The 24,191-nt window shown below is 38.7% G+C and overlaps 1 protein-coding gene across 14 annotated transcripts in view; it reads right to left on the bottom strand.

The window, feature by feature from the left end:
- DOCK4 (dedicator of cytokinesis 4) overlaps positions 1 to 24,191 on the bottom strand; it is a 480,290-nt gene that overhangs the window by 181,550 nt on the left and 274,549 nt on the right. For all 14 annotated transcript variants that reach the window (XM_047421081.1, NM_014705.4, XM_006716189.3 and 11 more), the window contains exon 13: positions 8,120 to 8,245. In XM_047421081.1, the coding sequence (XP_047277037.1) occupies positions 8,120 to 8,245 (126 nt within the window). The remainder of the gene's footprint in view (positions 1 to 8,119; positions 8,246 to 24,191) is intronic.

A 24,191-nucleotide genomic window follows, 5' to 3' on the forward strand; every position in this document is an offset into this window, starting at 1 on the left:
GGGGGTCCAGTGACTAGAGCTGGAGGGTGGTAAGCTTTGGTTAGGTTTAGGATATATATAGATACATTATATATATCAATGTATATTTTGATACAGAGTCTTACTGTCTCCTAGGCTGGAGTGTAATGGCATGATCTCCACTCACTGCAGCCTCAACCTGCTGGGCTCAAGCAATTCTACTACCTCAGCCTCCTGAGTAGCTGGGACTGCAGGCGCACGCCACCATGCCTGGCTAATTTTTGTATTTTTTGTAAAGACAGGGTTTTGCCATTTGTCCAGGCTGGTCTTGAACAACTGAGGTCAAGCAATCCACCATCCTTGGTCTCCCAAAGTGCTGGGATTACAGGTGTGTGCCATCATGCCCAACTAGATTTAGGATATATTTTTAAGGAAAATCAAATCTTACTAGTGCACATCTACTTTCTCCAAAAGAAGGCTTACTGCTGTTTCAATTCCATCTGTTGATGTGTATTTCTCTATCAGTACATAGTAAGGAATATTTATATTGGCCGGGTGTGGTGGCTCACACCTGTAATCCCAGCACTTTGGGAGGCTGAGGCAGGCAGATCACAAGGTCAGGAGATCGAGACTATCTTGGCTAACACGGTGAAACCCCATCTCTACTAAAAATACAAAAAATTAGCTGGGCATGGTGGCGGGCGCCTGTAGTCCCAGCTACTCGGGAAGCTGAGGCAGGAGGATGGCATGAACATGGAAGGCAGAGCTTGCAGTGAGCCGAGATCGTGCCACTGCACTCCAGCCTGGGCAACAGAGTGAGACTCCGTCTCAAAAAAATAAATAAAATAATAATAATAATAATAATGAAATTGCTTACTTCTCTTTTTGTCAAAGTGACTTTTATTTATTTTTTATATTTTTGTTTGTATTTTGCTTTAAGTTCTGGGATGCATGTACAGAACATGCAGGTTTGATACATAGGTATACATGTGCCATGGTGGTTTGCTATGCCTATCAACCCGTCATCTAGGTTTTAAGCCCCGCATGCATTACGTATTTGTCCTAATGCTCTCCCTCCCCTTGCCCCCCACCGCCCCCAGGCCCTGGTGTGTGATGTTCCCCTCCCGGTGTCCATGTGTTCTCATTGTTCAACTCCCACTTAGGAGTGAGAGTTAGTTCCTGTGTTAGTTTGTTGGGAATGATGGCTTCTAGCTTCATCCATGTCCCTGCAAAGGACATGAACTCATTCTTCTTTAGGGCTGCATAGTATTCCATGGTGTATATGTGCCACATTTTCTTTATGCAATCTATCATTGATGGGCATTTGGGTTGGTTCCTAGTCTTTGCTGTTATAAATAGTGCCGCAATAAACAAATGTGTGCATATATTTATAATCCCTTGGGTATATACCCATTAATAAGATTGCTGGGTCAACTGGTATTTCTGGTTCTAGATCCTTGAAGAATCGCCACACTGACTTCCACAATGGTTGAACTATTTACACTCCCACCAACAGTGTAAAAGTGTTCCTATTTCTCCACACCCTCACCAGCATCTGTTGTTTCCTGACTTACTAATAATCGCCCATTCTAACTGGTGTGAGATATATCTCATTGTGGTTTTGATTTGCATTTCTCTAATGACCAGTGACAATGAACTTTTTTACTATGTTTCTTGGCCGCATAACTGTCTTCTTTTGAGAAGTGTCTGTTCATATCCTTCGAAATTGCTTACTTTCTTAAACATAAGACAAACATCTCTATAACATTCTTCTAACTCCAGTCTGTAAATCATTATTTAGTCAACTTTGACCAAATAGAAATTTGACTTATTTGAACTATAAAGACACATGCACACATTTGTTTATTGCAGCACTATTTATAATAGCAAAGACTTGGAATCAATCCAAATGCCCATGAATGATAGACTGGATAAAGAAAAAGGAGGATTGATTTGAATAATACTTATAAAATAAACAAATAAATCCTCAGATTACTATTAAAACTGGTCCCCAAATCTCAACCCTATCACTCCAGTGTTTTCACTTAAATCTTTTTAGGGGATGGGCATGGTGGCCCATGCCTGTAATTGCAGCACTTTGGGAAGCTGAGGCAGGAGAATCACTTGAGCCCAGGAGTGTTCAAGACCAGCCTGGGCAACATAGGGAGATCTGATTTCTCCAAATAATAAAAAATTAGCTGGGTGTGGTGACACACCTGCTGTGGTCCCAGTTATTCAAGAGGCTAAGGCAGGAGAATCACTTGAGCCCAGAAGGCTGAGACTGTAGTGAGCCATGATTGTACTACTACACTCCAGCCTGAGTAACAGATGGAGACCCTGTTTAAAAAAAAAGAAAAAAGAAAAAAAAAAAAACGTTTTAGGGCTAAGAGCTTCAAAGACCTACTAAAAGTGAATGCACTGAAATGTATAAATGATGGGTTCCCTAACAAAGAATGACAGTTTAACCAATGGATATGTGGGAACAAGTCTCTAAAGAAATAGGGTACAGGCATGAAAGCTTAAATAGTGAAATCATGATGGAGGCAAAGAAAATTTTGCCTGGAAAGAATCACAGAGTAAAAAATGGACATTTGGGGAGCAGGGAAGACAGTCAGATCTTCCATGCCATTCCTGATACATCAGCCAGCTTTGCTCCAGAATGTCTGATGGATGGAAACTTGGATCTCCCTGATGCTTAGCAATAGGCCAGGCCTGCTTTGCCTAGGGTCTGTTAAGATGTTTAGAGTTGGGCTGTCCAACAGGGTGACCACTGCCACATGTGGCAATGGAGCCCTTAAAATGTGACTCGCTGAAAAGAGACATGCTGTACATGTACGATACTTGCCAGCTTTCAAAGACTGAGGTTGAAAACAGAGTGTAAAATAACTCATCAGTAGTTTTTCATATGGATCTCCTATTAAAACGCTAATATTTTGGATGTTTTAAGTTAAGTAACATATATGGTTAAAACTAATTTCATCTCTTTTATTCTCACTTTTTTAAAGTGGCTACCAAAACATTTAAAATTAGCTTTGTCGCTCAAATGATGTTCCTACTGGAAAGCACTGATTAAAATAATTTGCTGCTCTCCCTCCCTCTCATAGCCCAGACCGTGGAACGCCTTCAATCAGTTATTTGGCTTGGAGGTGGCAGTGACAGAGCTTCACAGAAAATGTTTTTTCTCAGTTGGAAGTCTGACACTCTAAGAAATAAAGTGCTGTGTGACAGACCCTTAACCAAGGAAGAGTCCAGAGGACTTCATGATGACTCAGAAGCATATGGACAGGTACCTCCTCACACCAGGAGACCTGTCTGTACAATAGTGAGACAAGTGGAGAATTTCTGCGCCTACGTTTTTCCCATTTCAAAAAGAGTCTGGCATTGATTACATTCTGTGATCGAAAAGAGTTTTGTGTATGTTCTTGTCCTTGTCAGGATCACAGATAATTCATTCTGCAGAGAGGCGGTGACTGTGTGCATAAACTGGGTCCTGTTGGTATAATCATGTGCCTCACCTGTTTTGACCCTATCAGAATGCTAAAGATGCAAATTAACTCTGAAGGACACATCTAGACAATGAAAAAAAAATTATGCTTGCAGACGGTCAGTGTAACATTGGGATCAGAAATATTGTTCACACACACTTTCTCATGGAAGAATTCAGCTCAAGTTTTCATTAGAGCCACTGGTGAGAATGAATTGACAAGTCTGAAAGTAACAAAGGAAAACAAAACAATGATTGCATGTTTCCTAGTGTAAAAAATTCCACTGAGTTTTAAAGTTGCTTTCAGTTGTTTAAGGAAATACACACATCTCTCCCTTTTCTATTATGGAAGATTAAAAAGCCAGAGGAAGAAAGGGAAAAAAAAAAGAGAAGGAAGTGCTTTTAAAAAAACCTCTTTTGTACTCCCCTGAACTACAGACACATGTCTGAAAGAACAATTTTCCTGGACAGTGTAGACTTCGCATTACAAGGTGGTACCGGAAAGGGACAGAAACGAGCCTTATTCCACAGAAGTTCATGCCCATCATTAAAGCCACACAAAAGCTGCGTGAGCACAGCAGATCCCAGACAATTAATCAGCCAGTGAAGTGTCATCTTGCTTTATATTTTTCAATTTCTCCATGATACTGCCCAGAGACCAAGCTGAGGAATTCTTCCAGCAGCTGGCTGCATTCTGCTCTAAAATGTTTTTTTTTTTAATATATTAGATTTGCCCATCAATTTGCTTCCCAGTGGGATGAATTTTTTTTGTTGTTGAAGAGGAAATACCAGTTATTTATAGCAACTGAAGGAAATAATGGACAGTTGCAAGGGCCACAGAATAGCATGCCACCAAGTAAACAGTTCTATAAACAGTCATTTTCGACAACAGTACCATGAGATGCTCAGGCTGACTGGGTCCCTAAGCTAGGTCAGGTCATCTGAGGAAAACTTACAGGATGTTCTCTCAGCCTTCCTTGCATGAAGGAATTTCAGTCGGGCAATTACAAAATGGTGCAATGGGCGATACTGGTCATTTTAGGTCTTTATTCATAGCAATCTCATTATTGGGTCTCATAGCTATGCCAGGTGCCTTGTCAGATACAACTTCCTTTGCTTGCACTTACACATGGGATTTAAACAGTGGTTTAGAAGACCTCATTTAAAACAAATACTGTCAACAATTTAAGAGTATTTTATTTGGTCTATTGTTTTTCCCTTTTCTTGGTTGTGGAGGGTGGGGTATGGAGCACCCAGAAATACTACTACTTAGTATGCTATTCGTCATCTTCTATCTGTAGACAAAAGGGCAGAAGCTCTTTGTTTCTATGGAAGATCAAACACAAGTGAGGTCCTTTTATAATAAAATTCATGACTTAAAAAAACTCATTTCTTGATTTGTAAAAACAAGAGGATATGTCAAAAAAATTTTAAATGTAAGCCACAATAACCTGTGTAGCTTAGTCCTATTCTGAGGAGGGAGGAAGCAGAAGAGGGGGAGGAAGAGGAGGAGGAGAAGGAAAGAAGATGGAGGAGGGAGGAAAGATAAGAAGAAAAAGAAAGATTAAGATCAAGACAGAAAGGAAAAGAGAAAGAAAATAAGAGGTCCAGACACACACAAAGAAATAGATAGGTATAGACAGAACCAAGGCTTGTTGAAGATAACCCCAGCTGGTCATAGCCCTGTGTTCCTAGGGACAGTGTGAAATTTCTAGAACTCTAGTGGTTCATTACTAAATAACAATTAGACTTTTTCTTTTTTTTTTGCTTTTAAACTTCAAAAGTTTTTAAAAGGCTATTCTCTCACAAAATTATGACTTTCACAGAATTTTAGAAATTAAAATTTTTTAGAGCATAGAAATTTCCTTTTTTTTTTTTTTAGATGGAGTTTCGTTCTTGTTGCCCAGGCTGGAGTGTAGTGACAGGATCTTGGCTCACTGCAACCTCCGCCTCCCGGGTTCAAGCGATTCTCTTGCCTCAGCCTCCTAAGTAGCTGGAATTACAGTCACATGCCACCATGCCCGGCTAATTTTTTGTATTTTTAGTAGAGACGGGGTTTCACCATGTTGTCCAGGCTGGTCTTGAACTCCTGACCTCAGGTGATCTACCCGCCTCAGCCTCAGTGCTGGGATTACAGGCATGAGCCACTGCGTCAGGCCAGAAATCTCCTTTTAACATTGGAGGTGGGCCAGGCACTGTGGCTCAAGCCTATCATCCAAGCATTTTGGGAGGCCAAAGCAGAAGGATAACTTGAGCCCAGGGATTAGAGACCAGCCTGGGCAACATAGGGAGATCCCATCTTTACAATTTTTTTTTTTTTTTTTTTGAGACAGAGTCTCGCTCTGTCGCCCAGGCTGGAGTGCAGTGGCGCGATCTCCGCTCACTGCAAGCTCCACCTCCCGGGTTCACGCCATTCTCCTGCCTCAGCCTCCCGAGTAGCTGGGACTACAGGCGCCCGCCACCACGCCCGGCTAATTTTTTGTATTTTTAGTAGAGATGGGGTTTCACCATGTTAGCCAGGATGGTCTCGATCTTCTGACCTCGTGATCCGCCCACCTCGGCCTCCCAAAGTGCTGGGATTACAGGCATGAGCCACCGCGCCCGGCCACAATTTTTTTTTTTTTTTTTTAATTAGCCAGGTGTGGTGGTATATGCTTGTAGTCCTAGCTACTCAGGAGGCTGAGGTGGGAGGATCACTTGAGCCCAGGAGTTTGAGACTGCAGTGAGCAATGACTGTGCCACTGCACACCAACCTGGACAACAGAGTGAGACCCCATCTCTAAAAAAGAAAACACAAACAAACAAAGAAACAAAAGAAACATCAGAGGTACAGCCATGTTGGCTATGACTACACAGTCTTTCACTATTAAAGCAGGTACTTGCTATTAGTGCAGTGGAGAACAAAGACTCGGGGGATGTGGGCCTAGAATCATTAGCATTGAAGACCCTGCTCAGGTGTTACCTCCTCAGGAAATTTTAACGAGACTCCTTCAATAAGATTCTACAACTCCTCTGTGCTCTCCATGCTGCATTCTCCAACTCCTTTCGGGTTACAGCGTGTCTCTGCCTGTGGACTGTAATCCCCCTCAAAGTATAAACAGGTCTTACTCTCGCCATCTCCACTGCTAACACCTTGCTCAACACCATGATCACCACTTACCTGGATTAGTTCAAACAGCCTCCAAACCGGTCTCCCTGTTTCTCTGCTGCCCTCCCATATTCCCTCCAGGTATAATCTCTATACAGCAACCACAGTGATCCTGTGGCAATGTAAAGCAGTGTCACACCTCTGTTCCAAACCCTCTAGCTGTTTCCTTTCTCATTCTGAATAAGACCCAAAGTGCTGAGTGTGACCTACAAGGTCCACATGACTTCCCTCTTCGAATCTCCATTCCCATCCCCAGTACTGTATTTTGACCAAGTTAGCCTTCTTGCAGTTCCTCAAACAAGCCACGATTCTATGGCTGCAGGACCACTGCCCTTATTGTTGCTATGCCTGGAATCCTCTTATCTGCACGGCTTCCTCATGTCTTTTAGGTCTCTACTCTACTGCCTTCTCACCTAAATTTCTTACCTACCACAAATCTCCATCTCTCCACCCACTACCCTCTAAGACATTCCCTAGCCCTTTACCTACACTGGTTTTCACCTGAGCATTCATCATCTTTGAACATACATGTTTTACTTACATATTTATTATAATTTTCCTTATTACAAAGTAAGTCCTATGGGTTTCTTCTGTTGTGTTCAGTTTTATAGCCCCAGTATTTGGAAGAATGCCTTTGTACATAGAAAGTGCTAAATATTTATTTGTAGAATGAATGAACTCATCTTTTTAACTTTTGGCTCCTGGCACAAAGTTTTGATTGATGCTCAATCAATGCCTGCTGACTGACTAAATCAATTTTTGCTAAACACACATCCTTCCTCATCAGCAAACGTACTATTCTTATCCAATTCATAAGTTGTAGATGAACACACTCAGAAAACCCTAAATTTCCATAAGCACATAAAGGGGTGTGCTTTTAAACATTTATTTTCGTGGAGAGATTACGACTGACCCACTCCCAAATGCATCAGCTTCAATGAATCTGGCATTCATGTCACACTGTAAAACTGCTTAACCCACATCTTTTCTACTTTTGGGGAATTTTGGGGGCACTAATATAGATCTAAATCATACACACAAATAGATCTAGAAAAGGTATAGAAGTACATATAATATTTGCATATGGCTGCTTATTTACATATGGCTAACTAGTGTTCAGTACGTTTTTATCAAAACTTAGGATATCCTCTAAGCATCTTCACCAACATTTTCCATCAAGGAGTACAATATTTTCTGGACAGTAACTCAGTTTTCCTCCTTCTCCTGGTCATAATGAAATGTAGCCATGGCCCCCACAAGTTAACAACTTTAGAATAATCAGAATGTAAAGACATTTTTGAGCTTCAAATCACTGACAAGAAAGTTTATACAAAAGGAAATATTTTAAAATTAAACTGAAAAGGATATTTTAGAAAAAAATGTGCTTACTTACAGTCACATACCTCATTTCATTCTTCAGCATGGCCCATGTGAATGCTTCAAAGCTGGCAATTTGAAAAATTTCTCAAACATCAAAAACAGATAGTATACCCATATTTCATCATATCGGTACGTCCCAAGTCACCTACCAGGCATAATAATATTTGAAAATCCCAGCTTCCTTGTTATGGATACTCCATGAGAAAATACTGATGAATATTCCCTTCTGATTTGTTCAATGTCTCCGTGCAATAGCTGTAAGGAAACTGCTAAACCTAAAACAGATGAGAGATACCCGAGTTAAAAACAGAATAGAAATAGAATAAAGAGAAACTGATGTGTTGCAACAAGCCCAAATTTAGAATATCATGGTTTTAAACTAAGGGTTAATATTCCGACGAAATCGACAGAATCTATATGAATCATATCTGAATAACACTTTTCCAACTTCAACATCTGAGTTTCCCATTCATAAGGAGGTTCATAGCAAGTGGAGAAAATGAGCAGAACTCTAAGAGGCAGCCTGGCTTCCAACCCCCAAATCTCTCCTCCAACCCTAGTCTGGTGGAGCACGTTCCTGCGCCAACACTTATTCCAGAAGTAGATGAAGGTCACCTTGCCCTAAAAAATACTGACATCAAAATGGGAGGTTTAAAACAAAACAAAACAAAACAAAAGGCCTATGAATAGTTGCTTATCAAATATCAAAAGCATGAACACAAATCTGAAGACATATTAATTTAAGGATTTAAAGGATATTGATAGAGATTTTCTTGAAACATAAGTAACAAAGCCGATTATAATGAAACCAGGATTATATTAATAATATATACAGTAGAAACTCATGATGACATGATTTTCTAGTGAGGAGAATTTAGCAGAATACAGGACACCTTGACAAAGAAAAGAGAATTTAGTCAGTAAAGTAGGAAAAATTATTATTTTTACCCCAATTATAAGGACATTACCTTAGCTGGATATACAGAAGATGCAAAACACTTTTTATCATATATTATTTTCTCAATTTCCAGGCAAGAAGTACAGAAAACTTTAATGTCATATCATTGTGAATATGTCTGTATGCATACTCCAAAGATAGCACTTCTCTTTCAGCTTTTTCATTCCTTCTTTGTTTATCTTCTTATGTTTTAATTTTTAAGATAGCCAAATTATTATATTTTTAATTTTTTTATTTCCATGGGTTATTGTGGAATAGGTGGTATTTGGTTACATGAGTAAGTTCTCTAGTGGTGATTTGTGAGATTTTGGTGCACCCATCACCTGAGTAGTAAACCCTGAACCCAATTTGTAGTCTTTTATCCCTCACCCACCTCCCACCCTTTCCCCCATGTTTTTTTTTTTTTTTTTTTTTTTTTTGAGACGGAGTCACGCTCTGTTCCCAGGCTGGAGTACAGTGGCGCGATCTTGGCTCACTGCAACCTCCGCCTCCCGGGTTCAAGCAATTCTCCTGCCTCAGCCTCCTGAGTAGCTGGGACTACAGGCGTCCGCCATCACACCCAGCTAATTTTTGTGTTTTTCGTAGAGATGGGGTTTCACCAAGTTGGCCAGGATGGTCTCGAGCTCTTGACCTTGTGATCTGCCCTCCTCGGCCTCCCAAACTGCTGGGATTATAGGTGTGAGCCACCGCGCCTGGCCTCTATGCTTTAAAATAAGAAGGACAAAAATATCTCCCATCTATATTTACTATATTAGTGATAGAAAATGAAACCAGTCAAAGGTGACTTATTTTTAAAAACATTCAGTCATCATTAACCTGAAGTCAATTTAAAGATGAATTTGCTGGCCGGGTGCGGTGGCTCACACTTGTAATATCAGCACTTTGGGAGGTCGAGGCAGGCGGATCATGAGGTCAGGAGATCAAGACCATCCTGGCTAACAAGGTGAAACCCCACCTCTACCAAAAAAATTAGCCCAGCGTGGTGGCAGGTGCCTGTAGTCCCAGCTACTCTGGAGGCTGAGGTAGGAGAATGGCGTGGGCCCGGGAGGTGGAGCTTGCAGTGAGCCGAGATCGCACAGCTGCACTGCAGCCTGGGTGACAGAGCGAGACCCCATAATAAAAAAAAAAAAAAAGATGAATTTGCTTAGTACAGTCAAGAAGATGATAAATCTACATCGTCAGATTTAGAACCTCTATCTACATTATTACTTATCACATTTCTCTCAATAATGCACAGATCATGTGCAAGTCATAACTCCCAAAAATGACTTACAGTATGATAATGCTGTATAAGAACAAAGGTGTGAGAATGACATCATGCTGTGATGAAAAAAATGCAAAGTTTATTTGTCACATGTGTAGAGGAAGGTCTTCCCTTTTACTCTCTTTCAATAATAGAGCAAACAAACAATAACAATGAAAGTAGCGTTTTTTGGTTGGTTTGCTTGTTTTTCAATAGAGTGGTTAAAATATCAGGAAAATTTGTAAACCAAAATAAAATAGAAGGAAAGAAAAAAGAAAAGGCTTTAGGCTCAGAGAGAAACTGGAGCCTCTCCTGAGGTCCAAATCGGAGCTAGATGAGGGGCAATAAACAAAGAAAAGGAGGACAGGGACATGACGACATGATCGTGTCCTCACACTTTCCGGTTTGTGTACCAACAGAATGTCTCCAAGAGCTGTCGCGAGAATTACATTAAGTCTGGCACATCCTCAGAACTTCAAATCTGCGTCCTAGTTTAACCTAACTACCCCTTATCTCCCTCTCCAGCCCCACCCCATTCACTCTGAGTTAGGTGACCGATGACAATAAAATGGAGAGTGTCTGTCTTTCCATGGTCACGGGAAATGAAGAAGGGGGGAATAAGCCATCTGGATGATTTGATGGAGACAACTATCATCAGTGAAGCTTTTGGACACTTTATGTGATACTAGTAGAACCTTTTAAAACCTGGAGGCGGAAGAATGAAGACAAGCGAACATGTGTTATGATCCATCTGTCCCAGCAGCTATTTCTCCCTAACTCACACTCTCTACCCCCACCTAATCATGGGTGTCTCTGTTCTCCTCCCACTTCTGTCCTTTTGCCTTCAAAATACTCACCCACATCATTACCATCATCATTAGCATCACCAGGATCTGGTATTTGTGGAATACTAGTGTTTGCCAGATCTAGTACATGATAACAGTTCTTCCTGCTGGGGAAAACACTGTTCAAATCCTGACGTACTATATGAGCAATGCTTTCCAGTACAGAATAAGACGAATTTAACAAAATTCTTAAGATCCTGTAATTTTTGCAAGTGAAGATCATTTTACTGGGGCTTCTCAATGAATGATCTGATCAGAGACACTAGCAACATCATGTGGTATACATAAAGGAAGAAGAGAAAAGGACTCAAGAGTAATGAAAAAACAAAGAGATCATGCTATTCACAATAGAAGTTGGAGAGAGAAAAACTGATCAAGATTCTTGTTTTGCCCTATAGGAGCCAGCATTCATTTAACCAGCAGCGACTTTAAAAAAAACAAAAACAAAACAAAAAACAAAAACAAAAGCAAACAAACAAAAAAACATAAGCTGAATACTGTACTTTACAGAGGATAAGACAAGGATAAAAGAAAACCATTGGGTCAGAGAGGTGAATCCTGAAGAAAATTAAAGAAGATAGGAAAAGGAGAAAAAATGCTTTAGAAAAAGACAGATGGAGGGGGAGTAATAATAAACAGAAATACATCAGTGTTCTCTAGAGAGCAAGGGCCACAGAGGGGAGAGAGTGCAAAAGGACAGAGAGGACCCATTTAGGAGACAGTCGACAGAGAGGAGTCGGTCAGTGGAGAAGGGAAGGGAATGGGAAAATGACAGGACAAATAGACAAAATAGTGTGGGGAAAAGGAAAAGCTGGCATTTCAGAGTTGGATGCATACTAAAAGTTTGATAGATACAGTAGTTTTCAACCTGAAGGTTTAGAGCAATATAGATTAAAGCCCTCAGTGTAATTATGTCATTTGACTAGCCAAGTGATGATAATGGGGGTTGAGGGGGAGGGCAGTTACTGCCATTTGGAGGTTCCCTAATTTCTCCAGAATGAAGAATTCACAGACATCAAGAATGACAAAGGTTAACAGGACACAGTGTTTGACCACAGTGTATCTGGCTTTGCCCAAATCATCAAATCTTTCCACAAAGAAACCACAACATATGACTAAGAAACATCAAAGAGTGGGTGCACAAAGAAAAAACATGATTCTGAGAGTGAGTCCACAGGGACCAGACCACAAAGAGCCATTGCAATTCCATTTATTTTCCAATCAAAGAAACTCCAGATCCTATTTTTACAGTGGTCCTTAATTGTCATGACCACAACCAAGAGGCTGGATAAACGAGCCACCAGAACAGTAAGAAACAACATAATGAAGACTAAGAAACTACTCATCACTATAAAGGAAAGACGTAGCAAATATTTACACATTCCTTCTAAAAACGTTGAACTCATAGAAGCAGAGAGTGGAATGATGGTTACCAGGGATTGGAGAGGGTGGGGGATATGGGGGTTAGGGAGAGTAAACCGGGAGATTTTGGTCACAGGAGACGAAGTTTCAGTTGGACAAGATGAAGACGTTCTAGAGAGCTATTGTATAGCATAGTGAGGTGGTTAATAATAATATACTGCATACTTAAAAATCGCTAAGAGAGTGGATTTTAAAATGTTCTCACTGCTATAAAATATGAGGGTCATATGCTAATTAGCTTGATTTAATCATTTAGCAGTGTATGCATATATCAAAACATCACATTGTATGCCATAAATATGTACAATTTTTAATTGTCAATTATACCTTATTAAAGCTGGGGCAAAAAAGACAAATATTTACACATTCCAATTACCTGAGATTAGCCCTGTCTTTTCAGGGTTATGACACAGGGCATGTTTGGAGAATGGTATTTTTCTTTCCGTTTTCTTTCTTATCATCCTACTTCACTTTCCTGGCCTCACCTGCTATCTCTGGGGTTGGGGCAACTTCTTAAATTTTATCTGTACATTTTACCTTATTCCTGCCACAGTTCAAAATGCACACTCTGAGCAGCAGTAACTTATGGCTTGAGAGGAGGGTGGAAAGTGGGATTTAAGGATGTATATTACAGTTTTCCTACACCCAAGAAACTGATAATCTAACAATTAAAATAAGAAACTTATACAGAGAGAGACAGAAAGAGAGAGAATATAAAACAGAATGGATTATAGGTATGATAGGAATATTAAAATAAGAAAAAATTACCACGGAAAGAATTGGAAAGCTTAGGAAATTTTTTATTGGAATTTATGACAACCTGTAAAATTAGATTAAATCTGAATTTCATAAAATTAAAATTTCATAAAATTAAAATTTCATAAAATTTAATTTACAATTTAATTTCATAAAATTTTAATTTCATAAAATTTAACCTAATTTTGTTTATGTAAATAATATTTTAAGTCACTTTTCTTAGACCTTAATATAAGTGCCCAAAATGAAATTGCTGTGGGAGAAATGTTCCCTTTCTTGGAAGAAACGTAATCATTAAAGTGAACTTTCACATCAGCCTAGATGTTCAAGCCCAATGATAAATACTTAACATTTAATTTTAAACAAAAGGCATAGTCATTAATCTGGAGTCTGCCATAAAACAACATATGATTCATGATTAAGTTCAGCTTACGGAGTGGTAGTACACGAAAGAAAGGCTTGGTATCTTTTAAGCCAAATGTGGCTGATTACTTGGAAGTTCTAATTTCATGAGAATTGAAGCTCATTTATTCTATAAGTTGGCTCCTTTTAAATTCATGAAATTCTGCAATTTTACATTAAAAATGGAAAGCATAGCATGATTTATAAGTAGCAGCTGAAATTTTAGAATACATCAGCCATTTTGCCACTAATAAACCACATAACATGTAGCTACGAATGCACAGCGATGCAAAAATGGAAAACTGTGATAAATATATTGGATAAATACATGTTGTTACTAAGTGTGCAGTTTAAGAATCATATCATATGGTTGCAAGTGACTGCCTCAATGTTAACCTCTCTGTGCTTTGGTTTCCACATCTGTAAAATAAAGATAAAGGCACCAATTCCATAAAATACTTTAGGTAATGCTTAGCTCAAAGGAAGTGTCAGCTGCTACTCCTACAATTGCCACTGCCACTACTATCATTATATCTATCATTGTTTCTGTTCTCATTCCTCCCTACCATGAGTATCAACAAATTAGCTTCCATCAAAAAATGGCCAAAGTCTCCTTAGTGTCATATAGAAATAAAATATTTCTTTTAATAGTTGTGCCCACTTACCACCAGATAAATCCAAATATTGTGATTAGGTTCTATAAAGGTTTCAAAGGCAAATATGTCTGTATATTGAGAACAATCCTCTAACATAGGAGACTTGACAAAGACATAACTGAGAAATACAAATAGACGATAAGTACAATTAGACATATGCGAAGGCGGTGAAATTCCTAATGACATGGAGATTACAGTGCTGTCCTCAGATACTAGTAAGTCAACGCTCTGAACAAGTGACAAATTCTGAAATATCCTTTAGAAGACACTTAGCATGTAATTTAGTCAGGAGGAGAGGTTATATTGCTATCTTATTTTGTTTTTCAAATATCATGATTTTTGTTTGCTTCTCTTTTTTCCCCTTCTTTTTCATTTCTACCCTCTAAATGGATTAAGTTTTCTTATTTGCTTATTTATCTCTCTATAGTTCTGGAAATTATACATACTATTTCTATTCTTTAAATGTGTAACATAAGTAATTGACTTAAATACTAAATTTAATCAATAGCTCTATTCTCTTCTGGAACAATTCTGGGAACTTGGATCTTTTAAACTCTGATGATGATATATTTTTAAATTGTTGCTGTTTGCAGTCAGTGCTTAAATAGATTTACCCTGACATTTACTATTCTCTTCGTACACACTTGCTTCTTACATTTCTTTCCTTCTGGGTTCAGTTCTTTTTTTTCAGATGGAGTCTTACTCTGTCGCCCAGGCTGGAGTGCAGTGGTGCGATCTTGGCTCACTGCAACCTCCACCTCCCAGGTTCAAGTGATTCTCCTGCTTCAGCCTCCTTAGCAGTTGGGACTACAGGCGTGCGCCACCACACCCAGCTAATTTTTTATACTTTTAGTAGAGACGGGGTTTCACCGTGTTAGCCAGTATGGTCTCGATCTCCTGACCTCGGTATCCACCCGCCTCAGCCTCCCATATTGCTGGGATTATAGGTGTGAGCCACCACACCCAGCCTGGGTTCAGTTCTTTACTCCTGATGATGAACTCTGACTAGTTGTTTCAGTGAATGTGAATGTAAAATCTCCAAGTCTTCATCTGAAATTTTATTTTATTCCCCCTTTTAAATATGGCAGGCCCTTTGTTCTGTGGGGCTCTGCATCTGTGGATTCAACCAGCTGGGTGTCAAAAATATTTGGAAAAATAAAATCCATAAAAAATAACAACACAACAACAGTAACCACAAAAAACAATACAGTAATAACAATCATTTAGATACCATTTACATTGTATTAGGTATTATACATAAGCTAGAAATAATTTAAAGTATATGAGGGGATGTGCATAGGTTATATGTAAATAGTATATGCTATTTTATGTAAGGGACTTCAGCATTTGCAAATTTTGGTGTCCTGAGAGGTCCTGGAACCAGTTTCCCACGGATACCAAGCAATGACTGTAACAGTTTGGCAAGTAAAGAATTCAAAGTTGGCCATTTGCTCCCAGCAGTTTTAAGATATTTATTATTCCATAATATTCTGACCTCTGTAACTGCTGCTAAGACTATTATTTCTTTTTAGGTAATCAGTATTTTCTCTCTGGTTTCTGGTTTTGTCTTTGGTGTTCTGCAGTTTCACCATAATTTATCTAGATATGACTTTTATTTATCCTGCTTATAACTTTCACTTCTTTTATCTGGGCATTTTATCCTCTGCAAAAGTTATTTAATTTATCCAGATATAACTTTATCCTACTTAATAACATTTTCTTCTTTTATCTGCACATTTTATCCTCTGCAAAAGCTCTACAAATTCTCAACCTTTTCAAATATTGCAGCTTACCCATGTACTTTATTTGTTCCTTCTGGAATTCCTACTAGATGTATGCTGGTCTTTTCATTCAATCCTTCACTGCTCTTAAATGTTTATTCAGGTTATTCCATTGCATTTACCCCTTGGGTAGCATTCTGGCTAATATTTTAAGTTATTTTACTAATTCGTTTTCCAACTATGCTCGTTTGCTATTTAAGTAGTCCACTGATTTCTTATTTTAATAACATTTTTTAAAAGAATTTTAGAAGTTCTATTTACTTCTCTTTAACCACTAGAATTTATACACAAAGAAAACAAAGATTTTTCATTGTCAAAAACTGTATACCAGTGCCTTGAGTAACGCTGAAATATATATACTCAATATTCTTTTGATGTATGGGTTTAAAAATCTCGTTCCATTTTTTTATGATGTTTTCTTTTTCATTAGAAATCTCTTTTGCTACCTCTTTTCCTGATAGTTTATTACCTAAAATTCCAAAAGATCATGATTCTCATTTGTTGCATTTGCTTACTCTGCCTCATTGATTGCTAATTGTTATCATTTTATCACAATTCATCTTTAGTGGGTGTTGTTTTTTTCACAGGGATCCCATGCATCATAGGTGTGGAAGCGACGATATGGAGTGGGTTACACATTTACTTTTTTTAGGCTATACAACTGGGACCAGGGGAAATGTGATATGCTAGTAGCCTACCCTCTCCTGGTGAGATACCATATACCTTGACTGGAAGCTGATGGGAGAGGGAACCCCATCTTCTTGGCTACATGTATATGTAGTGGAATTTTCATCACGCTGAGCTGGTGCAGGCAGGAAGGAGAAAATGAGATGTGATATAAGTTTCACCAACTCTCTTGATTCTTACCAGGAGTTGGCAGTTACTCTTTATTTGCTGTCTACACTTAGGAAGATTTCTAGACATTAGTCCTGTTTTAAAATACAATTTGTGACCAGGCACAGTGGCTCACACCTATAATCCTTTGGGAGGCAAAGGTGGGAGGATTGCTTAAGGCCAGTTCAAGACCAACCTGGCCAATGTAGTGAGTCCCCATTTCATTTTTAAAAATAAATAAATATGAAAAATAATTTAATTTAAAATCTAAAAGAAAATACGATTTTCATCAATAATGGTTGTTCCATTGGAGGAGGATGGTGCAGCTCTTCACACTGCCATTCTGTAGTAAACTCTCAAAACACTATTTCTTGACAGTACTTGCATACTTTGTATGTTTGGGAGGTGGGGGCTGAGAGTAAAACACAATTGGTGGAATTTCTAAACTTGTACTACAAAAAATTACTAACATTATGAGGTATTAGCAAAACTTCCTATAGATGATATTAGTAGATTTTTTCAAAAATCACCTTCAGTAAAACCTGTTCATTTCTGAAATACGTAGGGCCTCAATCTTATCAGAGCACAAATTTTACATCTATTCCTTCCTATGTGCTTGATTTACAAAATTAATCATCTAAGCTTTGCTTTGTGCATTAGAATGTTATGTGTTATATCTATAAGAAAAGATAATTGAATTTCACAGTAAATACATTAGAAGCTATATATCCTATCTGGAGTTCAACTCAAAGCCAGTGAAAACTTTTCCAGAGGCACATCCTAGCTACACCAAGCAGTAAAATCCTGGCTGATTAAAATGAGGTATTTACACTGGGAGGTCAGAGACAGGCTCTGAAAGTCTCTGAAGCAGAGGAAAGAAAGAAAGTCAAATTTCTAGAAAGTGTGAGGTATTAAGTGAGACAATACTATCGGAAAATGAGTCAATGGAGCAAAAGCCAGAATATTAGGAAGAGACTGGTGTGTACAAATGAGCCAGGTTAGATGGAGAAATCAAGATGCAGATGGGAAAATGGGAGCTGTGAACATTACCAGAGGCCTGCTTAACAATGTGTTAATTACATGATGAAAGGAGCCTAGTTACTCAAAGCCTCTACCCAGTAGGACCAAAGTACCCAAATTACAGCTGTCCTTTAACATTGTCATCTTGCAGAGCTAGATACTTACGCTATTAATGTTGCCACTGCTTAAATTTGGGATGTATCTCCTCTTTTAGATATACTTTCAAAACCAATTTAAAATGAAAAGAAAGAAAAAAGAGGGCCGGGCACAGTGGCTCATGCCTGTAATCCCAGGACTTTGGGAGGGCAAGGTGGGCAGATCACGAGGTCAGGAGATCGAGACTATCCTGGCCAACATGGTAAAACCCCATCTCTACTAAAATACAATAAATAAATAAATAAGCCTTGCATGGTGGCGTGTCGCCTGTAGTTCCAGCTATTCAGGAGGCTGAGGCAGGGGAATCACTTGAACCCGGGAGGCGGAGGTTGTAGTGAGCCGAGATCGTGCCACTGCACTCCAGCCTGGCGACAGAGCGAGACAAAGAAAAAAGAAAGAGAGAGAGAGAGAAAGAGAAAAAGAAAGAAAGAAAGAAAGAAAGAAAAAGAGAAAAAGAAAGAAAAAGAAGGAAGGAAGGCGGGCAAGGTGGGCAGATCACGAGGTCAGGAGATCGAGACTATCCTGGCCAACATGGTAAAACCCCATCTCTACTAAAATACAATGAATAAATAAATAAATAAGCCGAGCATGGTGGCGCGCCGCCTGTAGTTCCAGCTATTCAGGAGGCTGAGGCAGGGAAATCACTTGAACCCGGGAGGCGGAGGTTGCAGTGAGCCGAGATCACGCCACTGCACTCCAGCCTGGCGACACAGCGAGACAAAGAAAAAAGAAAGACAGAGAGAGAGAGAGAGAGAAAGAGAAAAAGAAAGAAAGAAAGAAAAAGAAAGAAACAAAGAAAAAAAGAAGGAAGAAAAAAAGAAAGAAAAAGAGAAAGAGAAAGAGAAAGAAAGGAAGGAAGGAAGCAGGGCGGGCGGGCAAGGCGGGCAAGGTGGGCAGATCACGAGGTCAGGAGATCGAGACTATCCTGGCCAACATGGTAAAAACACATCTCTACTAAAATACAATAAATAAATAAATAAATAAGCCAAGCGTGGTGGTGTGCCACCTGTAGTTCCAGCTATTCAGGAGGCTGAGGCAGGGGAATCACTTGAACCCGGGAGGCAGAGGTTGCAGTGAGCCGAGATCATGCCACTGCACTCCAGCCTGGCGACAGCGTGAGGCAAAGAAAAAAGAAAGAAAGAGAAAGAGAAAAAGAGAGAGAGAGAGAAAGGAAGGAAGGAAGGAAGGAAGGAAAGAAGGAAGAAAGAAAAAAAGAAAAAGAACGGAGGAAGGAAGACAGGAAGAAAGAAAACACTTTTATTTCTTAATAGTCATACCTTGGTTTCTGAGTTTTAGCCAGTATTGTTCAATTTGTGAATATGCTTATTGCTGATTGCTTCTTTAAACTAAGTTAAGTCTTAAAGAATATAATTTTGACATCACTGAGGATAACCCAAAGGGTCTGACCATAGGCTCACTGTCTGAAGATCATCTTCCTGAGATCTTCGAAGTGGGTAACTCTGTCCATTGGGATGACTACCTTCTAATATGCAAAAGGTATGATAAGCGTGAACAAATAATCTTGTGATTATAACTGCTGGTTTGCAGATCTGCTAGTTCTAAATTTCAAAGCTTTGGGAAAGGCTTTTATGTTTTCTCTAGAGAAGTGGTTAGCTCATGGCTAAGAGTTATAAAGAACATAAGATTGAAGCAATACATAATGTCACAGAATGTCAAATGAAAAGGCATTAAAGACATGTGAAATTATTTACTTTCATTGAGTCTTAACTACAAAAGAAATCTGCTGACCAGCAATGAAAGCTGGAGAGGGGCTTCTCCACATTTGGTAGGAGTGATGAGAGCATTCGAAGGGATTTCAACATTTCCTTTTTAACTAAGGGGAATTTTTCACTTTAAAGTTTCCATTCTTATTCTGATTTAGTGTATCAACATTTCAATAGCATATACTGAGGACTATGTCTAGGTTTTTTAAACAGGCTTTGTTTGTTTTTACTGTAACTATTATTACCTATTTGTATTTTATTTCCACAATACCAATACAAAGGAATCCATGGGCTGCAAACCATTTAAAAAATGTGTATAGAGCATAGTGATGGGGTTCAGGACACATTACCCTAAAACATGGTTCCTTGGCATACTGACTATTTGGAGAGACACCATGTGCAGGAAGGTCTCTCGGACCTTCCCTGCCATTCTCCCCTGAGCAGGTCATAAGAAGTGCCCTCCGTATATTGGATGAAAAGTACATCCTTATCTCTGAAAACAAAGTGTTGCAGAGAAGAACCTGAATAAACAGGCCTTCCTAAGTTTCTCCCAGTTTATTGCCATTAGACGATACCTTTTTCACCCCCTAGTATTTCTCTACAACTCCCTGTTCTTCATCAGACCTACTATAAAAAAACTAAGATTAAACTGTTTCTTCAGGTGTTCATTTCCTAATGAAGGCTCTCATGTCACAAAGAACTTAAATATGTTTGTTTGTATACTTTTCTTTTGTTACTCTGTCTTTTGTTGTTGGGGCTTAATCCATGAACCTAGGATACATGAGGAAATATTTTTCCTCCTCTACAATAGTATCTATGATTGTAGTTTAATATCTGATTATTTTAATTTACTGAAATACTTCCATATTTTTCCTATGCAGCAAATCTTGCAAACAGTATTGCTAGTGATTATATCTAAATTAGCCATACATAGCTCATTTAGAAAATGAAATCAAGCTCTAATCACTACTTCCATTCACATCATTTGGATTTAGTTTTATTTTTTTTAAATACTGCATGAACTTTAAAAAATATCTTACGGTGTAATGTAGTAACATATTTTGAACTATATTTTTTCTTTGCTGTCATTAGCATGATTTAGATCGAAGGAAACAAGAGATATGACAACTGCATGCAAAATAGCCTGGATTTTCTTTTTCTTTTTTTTTTTTTTTTTTTAAGATGGAGTCTCGCTCTGTCACCTAGGCTGGAGTACAGTGGCACAATCTTGGCTCACTGTAACCTCTGCTTCCCAGATTCAATTGATTCTCCTGCCTCAGCCTCCTGAGTAGCTGGAATTAACAGGCACGTGCCACCACACCCAGCTAATTTTTGTATTTTTAGTAGAGATGGGTTTTCACCACGTTGGTCAGGCTGGTCTCGAACTCCTGACCTCAAGTGATCCACGGACCTCGGCCTCCCAAAGTACTGGGATTACAGGTGGGAGCCACCAAACCTGGCTAGGATTTTCTTTTGTTATAAAAGACGTAGAGAAAATTGTCAAAATCTGAACAAGGTTTGCAGATTAGATAACAGTATTATATCAATGTTAACATTCTGATTTAGATAACTGTACTGTGGTTCTGTTGCTATGTTCTGAAGTAAGCAGGGGTAGAGAGGGATCATGTCTGCAATTTGTTCTCAGGCAGCTCAGGAAAAGAAATGTATATATGTATGATGTGTATAGATGTGTATATGTGTATATATGTACATATGTGTGTATACATGCATATATAAGTGTATATGTACATATATACACACACAAACATATACAATCAAGGCTCTGATATAATCCTTAAGGATCATATCAAATTCATTAATGTTGCGTTATATGACTATATGCACACACATACATATATAAATGGAGGGAGATTATGCAAATGAAATGTAGTATAATGTTAACCTTTGGGAAATTACAAATTCTTTGTACTGTTTTCTACAAATTAGTTGAAAAAAAAACTTTAAAGAGAGATCATGGTAAAATATTTAGGAAACTCCAAAAGTCAGCAAAAAGGTCACATATTAAATGTCTAACCAATAGGTGGTGCCAATAAGTACTACTTTTATTTCAATGATACTAGAAAGCAAATACAATGTTCAAAAATCAGGTGCACTGATCAAATTCTTATGAATTATACCAACTTGGTAACACTGAATAAAATGACTACATTGGTATGTGTGGACCCAAAAATGCAACCTAACACTCTCAAAAAGCCTCCTTTCACCTCAGCCAAATAAAAAACACCATATATTTCCTGAATAGAGTTAAACTGCTCTCGCTATATATTGTGGTCTCCTTATGGAGTTAAAAAGTATAGCTGGCAGGAATACAACCATGTACACTCATCTAAGATACAACAAAGACTCTAGAAACTTACCTGAATAGCAAATATGATTTCTTCTAGGTGTAAGCTACATGTGCAAACCATAGAAAATATTTCATAAATACACAGATAATATGAAAAGACTTTGAAGTTTCTCTTGGGACATACTGAACCATAGCCAATGATTTTTACACACCGTTTCAAGACGTAGAACTTAATTTGCCTCAGTAAATCATATTGGCTCAGTCTAATGTCACATTCCTATAATTCAACTGCTGTCTATCAGAGGTGAAATTTATAATAACCATTTGCTCAACAAACCTAAACCAGGCTCACATTAATGAATACTTTTAGAATTTCAAATTCTCACAACATTGCCTTTGGATTTAAAATTCATAAAACAGCACAACTTTGGAGATTTCAAACTACTCAACCTAACTATATCTAACTGTGAAGATATAGTAATTCAATTTTTAAAACATCTTAAAAAGTTAAATGGATTGCTTGCAATTTTCTCCCAGTTTCTAAACTCAACTAAGATAGTGGTTAATGTACCTTTGCAACATAAGTCTTAGGTTAGAGGGGAAAAAAGCCCAGTTAATTGGTGAATCCCTTTATCTATTAACCAGACAAGATTACAACTCCAATAGCTAGGAGGACATCAATGAAGCATAAAGGGCCTGGAAATTAGCTGGTAGAATTTGTTTCCGAAACCAATTTCAAAGTTGCGTTTTTTTCTCTTTTTTTAGTGCCAGTGACTGAGGAATAGCAGGAGAAAGTGGGGAAAAACAGTACTTTTTAGAGTGAACTCAATTCTTTTGAAAACGTTTGACTGCACTGCTTCCATTTAACAAACAATTCTGTGGTCCAGAGAGAAAACAGCGGAAGTCAACATTATCTAACTGTTGTGACAGTTTAAACATTAGGCACCCTAATTTCCCTCTTCAATTTCTTGTGCTCTTGCTTCCCCCACTATCTTGAGGTAAGCCATGAATGTGCCTCCCTTTCAATAATGAAGCTGAACAGCTCTGGAATCCCTATCTGCTGGCCACAGAACTTCCATTCCTCAACCAAGGATATAGATCAAGGGGATACAGAACAATGATCTACGTAGACTGAAGGGTGGAAGCTTTGGTGGGAAGAGTATAAGTTTTGCTTTTCTTTAAATTAGTTTTTAGGCTTCTTCCTGAGCTTCCACTCTCTAGAGCAGAATATTAGAGTGAAGAGGCTTAGGGCTGGGTTTGCCTCAGCTTGAGAGAGGCTAGAAAGGATCAGAGAGAGAGACCAGAGAAACAGAAGGCAGATAGATGCAGGCTGCGTGGGCCTGGCTGGGCCTCAGGGTTAAGAGAGAAGGGTAGAGAAGGGCTGAGGTCACAAGGACAGCGGAGCAGACAGGGCTTTGTAGCAGAAGCCAGGTATAAAGTGCATACATTTGGTTGCCTAGGAATCTGAGCATCACAGCAGGCTGCAAAATGGGAATGGATCCTGCCAGAGGAAGGGGAAACCTTTTTACAAGGCTTTATGGTACAATGGTTTCTTTCATTCTTTGCAAAGGCTACAACACGTAGCTTTTCATTTCAGTACAAAGGCTGTAAACAGAAAAGGTATGACTCATGGAAAAGGGTGGTTTGGATCTCACTATCTGGTAGGGTTTCACTCAGGATTCCAGTAAGAATAAGGAGCTAGTAAAATTGACAAAGCACATGGAACATGTGGACACATCTAAACATGGGAGGAACTGCCCAAGGAAACAGAATGTGCTTCCCTTCCTTCCTGAAGTTAATCAGAAGGCCAACAATTAAGTTAAAAGAAACCAGGAAGAGATATTAGCAATCAAATCAATGGAGAGGAGATGAAGGAAACAAAGTATAGAAGGGGTCGGTTCAATGATCCAACATATCAATAATCCAATTGTGTTATTCTAAAAGTCTTCATTAAGGAGATTAAATCAGGATCCATTTCGAGACAATGAAAACAGACAACTTAAGAGGTAAGGATAGAATATTTCAGCTAGTGGCTTTAAAGTGGGTAAACAATAATAATAGCTAACATTAAACACACACCATGTATGATGTCCTGTGGTAAGTGCTTTGCATACAT

Source organism: Homo sapiens, chromosome 7 (genome assembly GCF_000001405.40).
Source record: "Homo sapiens chromosome 7, GRCh38.p14 Primary Assembly".
In the NCBI taxonomy this organism is placed as follows: Eukaryota; Metazoa; Chordata; class Mammalia; order Primates; family Hominidae; genus Homo; species Homo sapiens.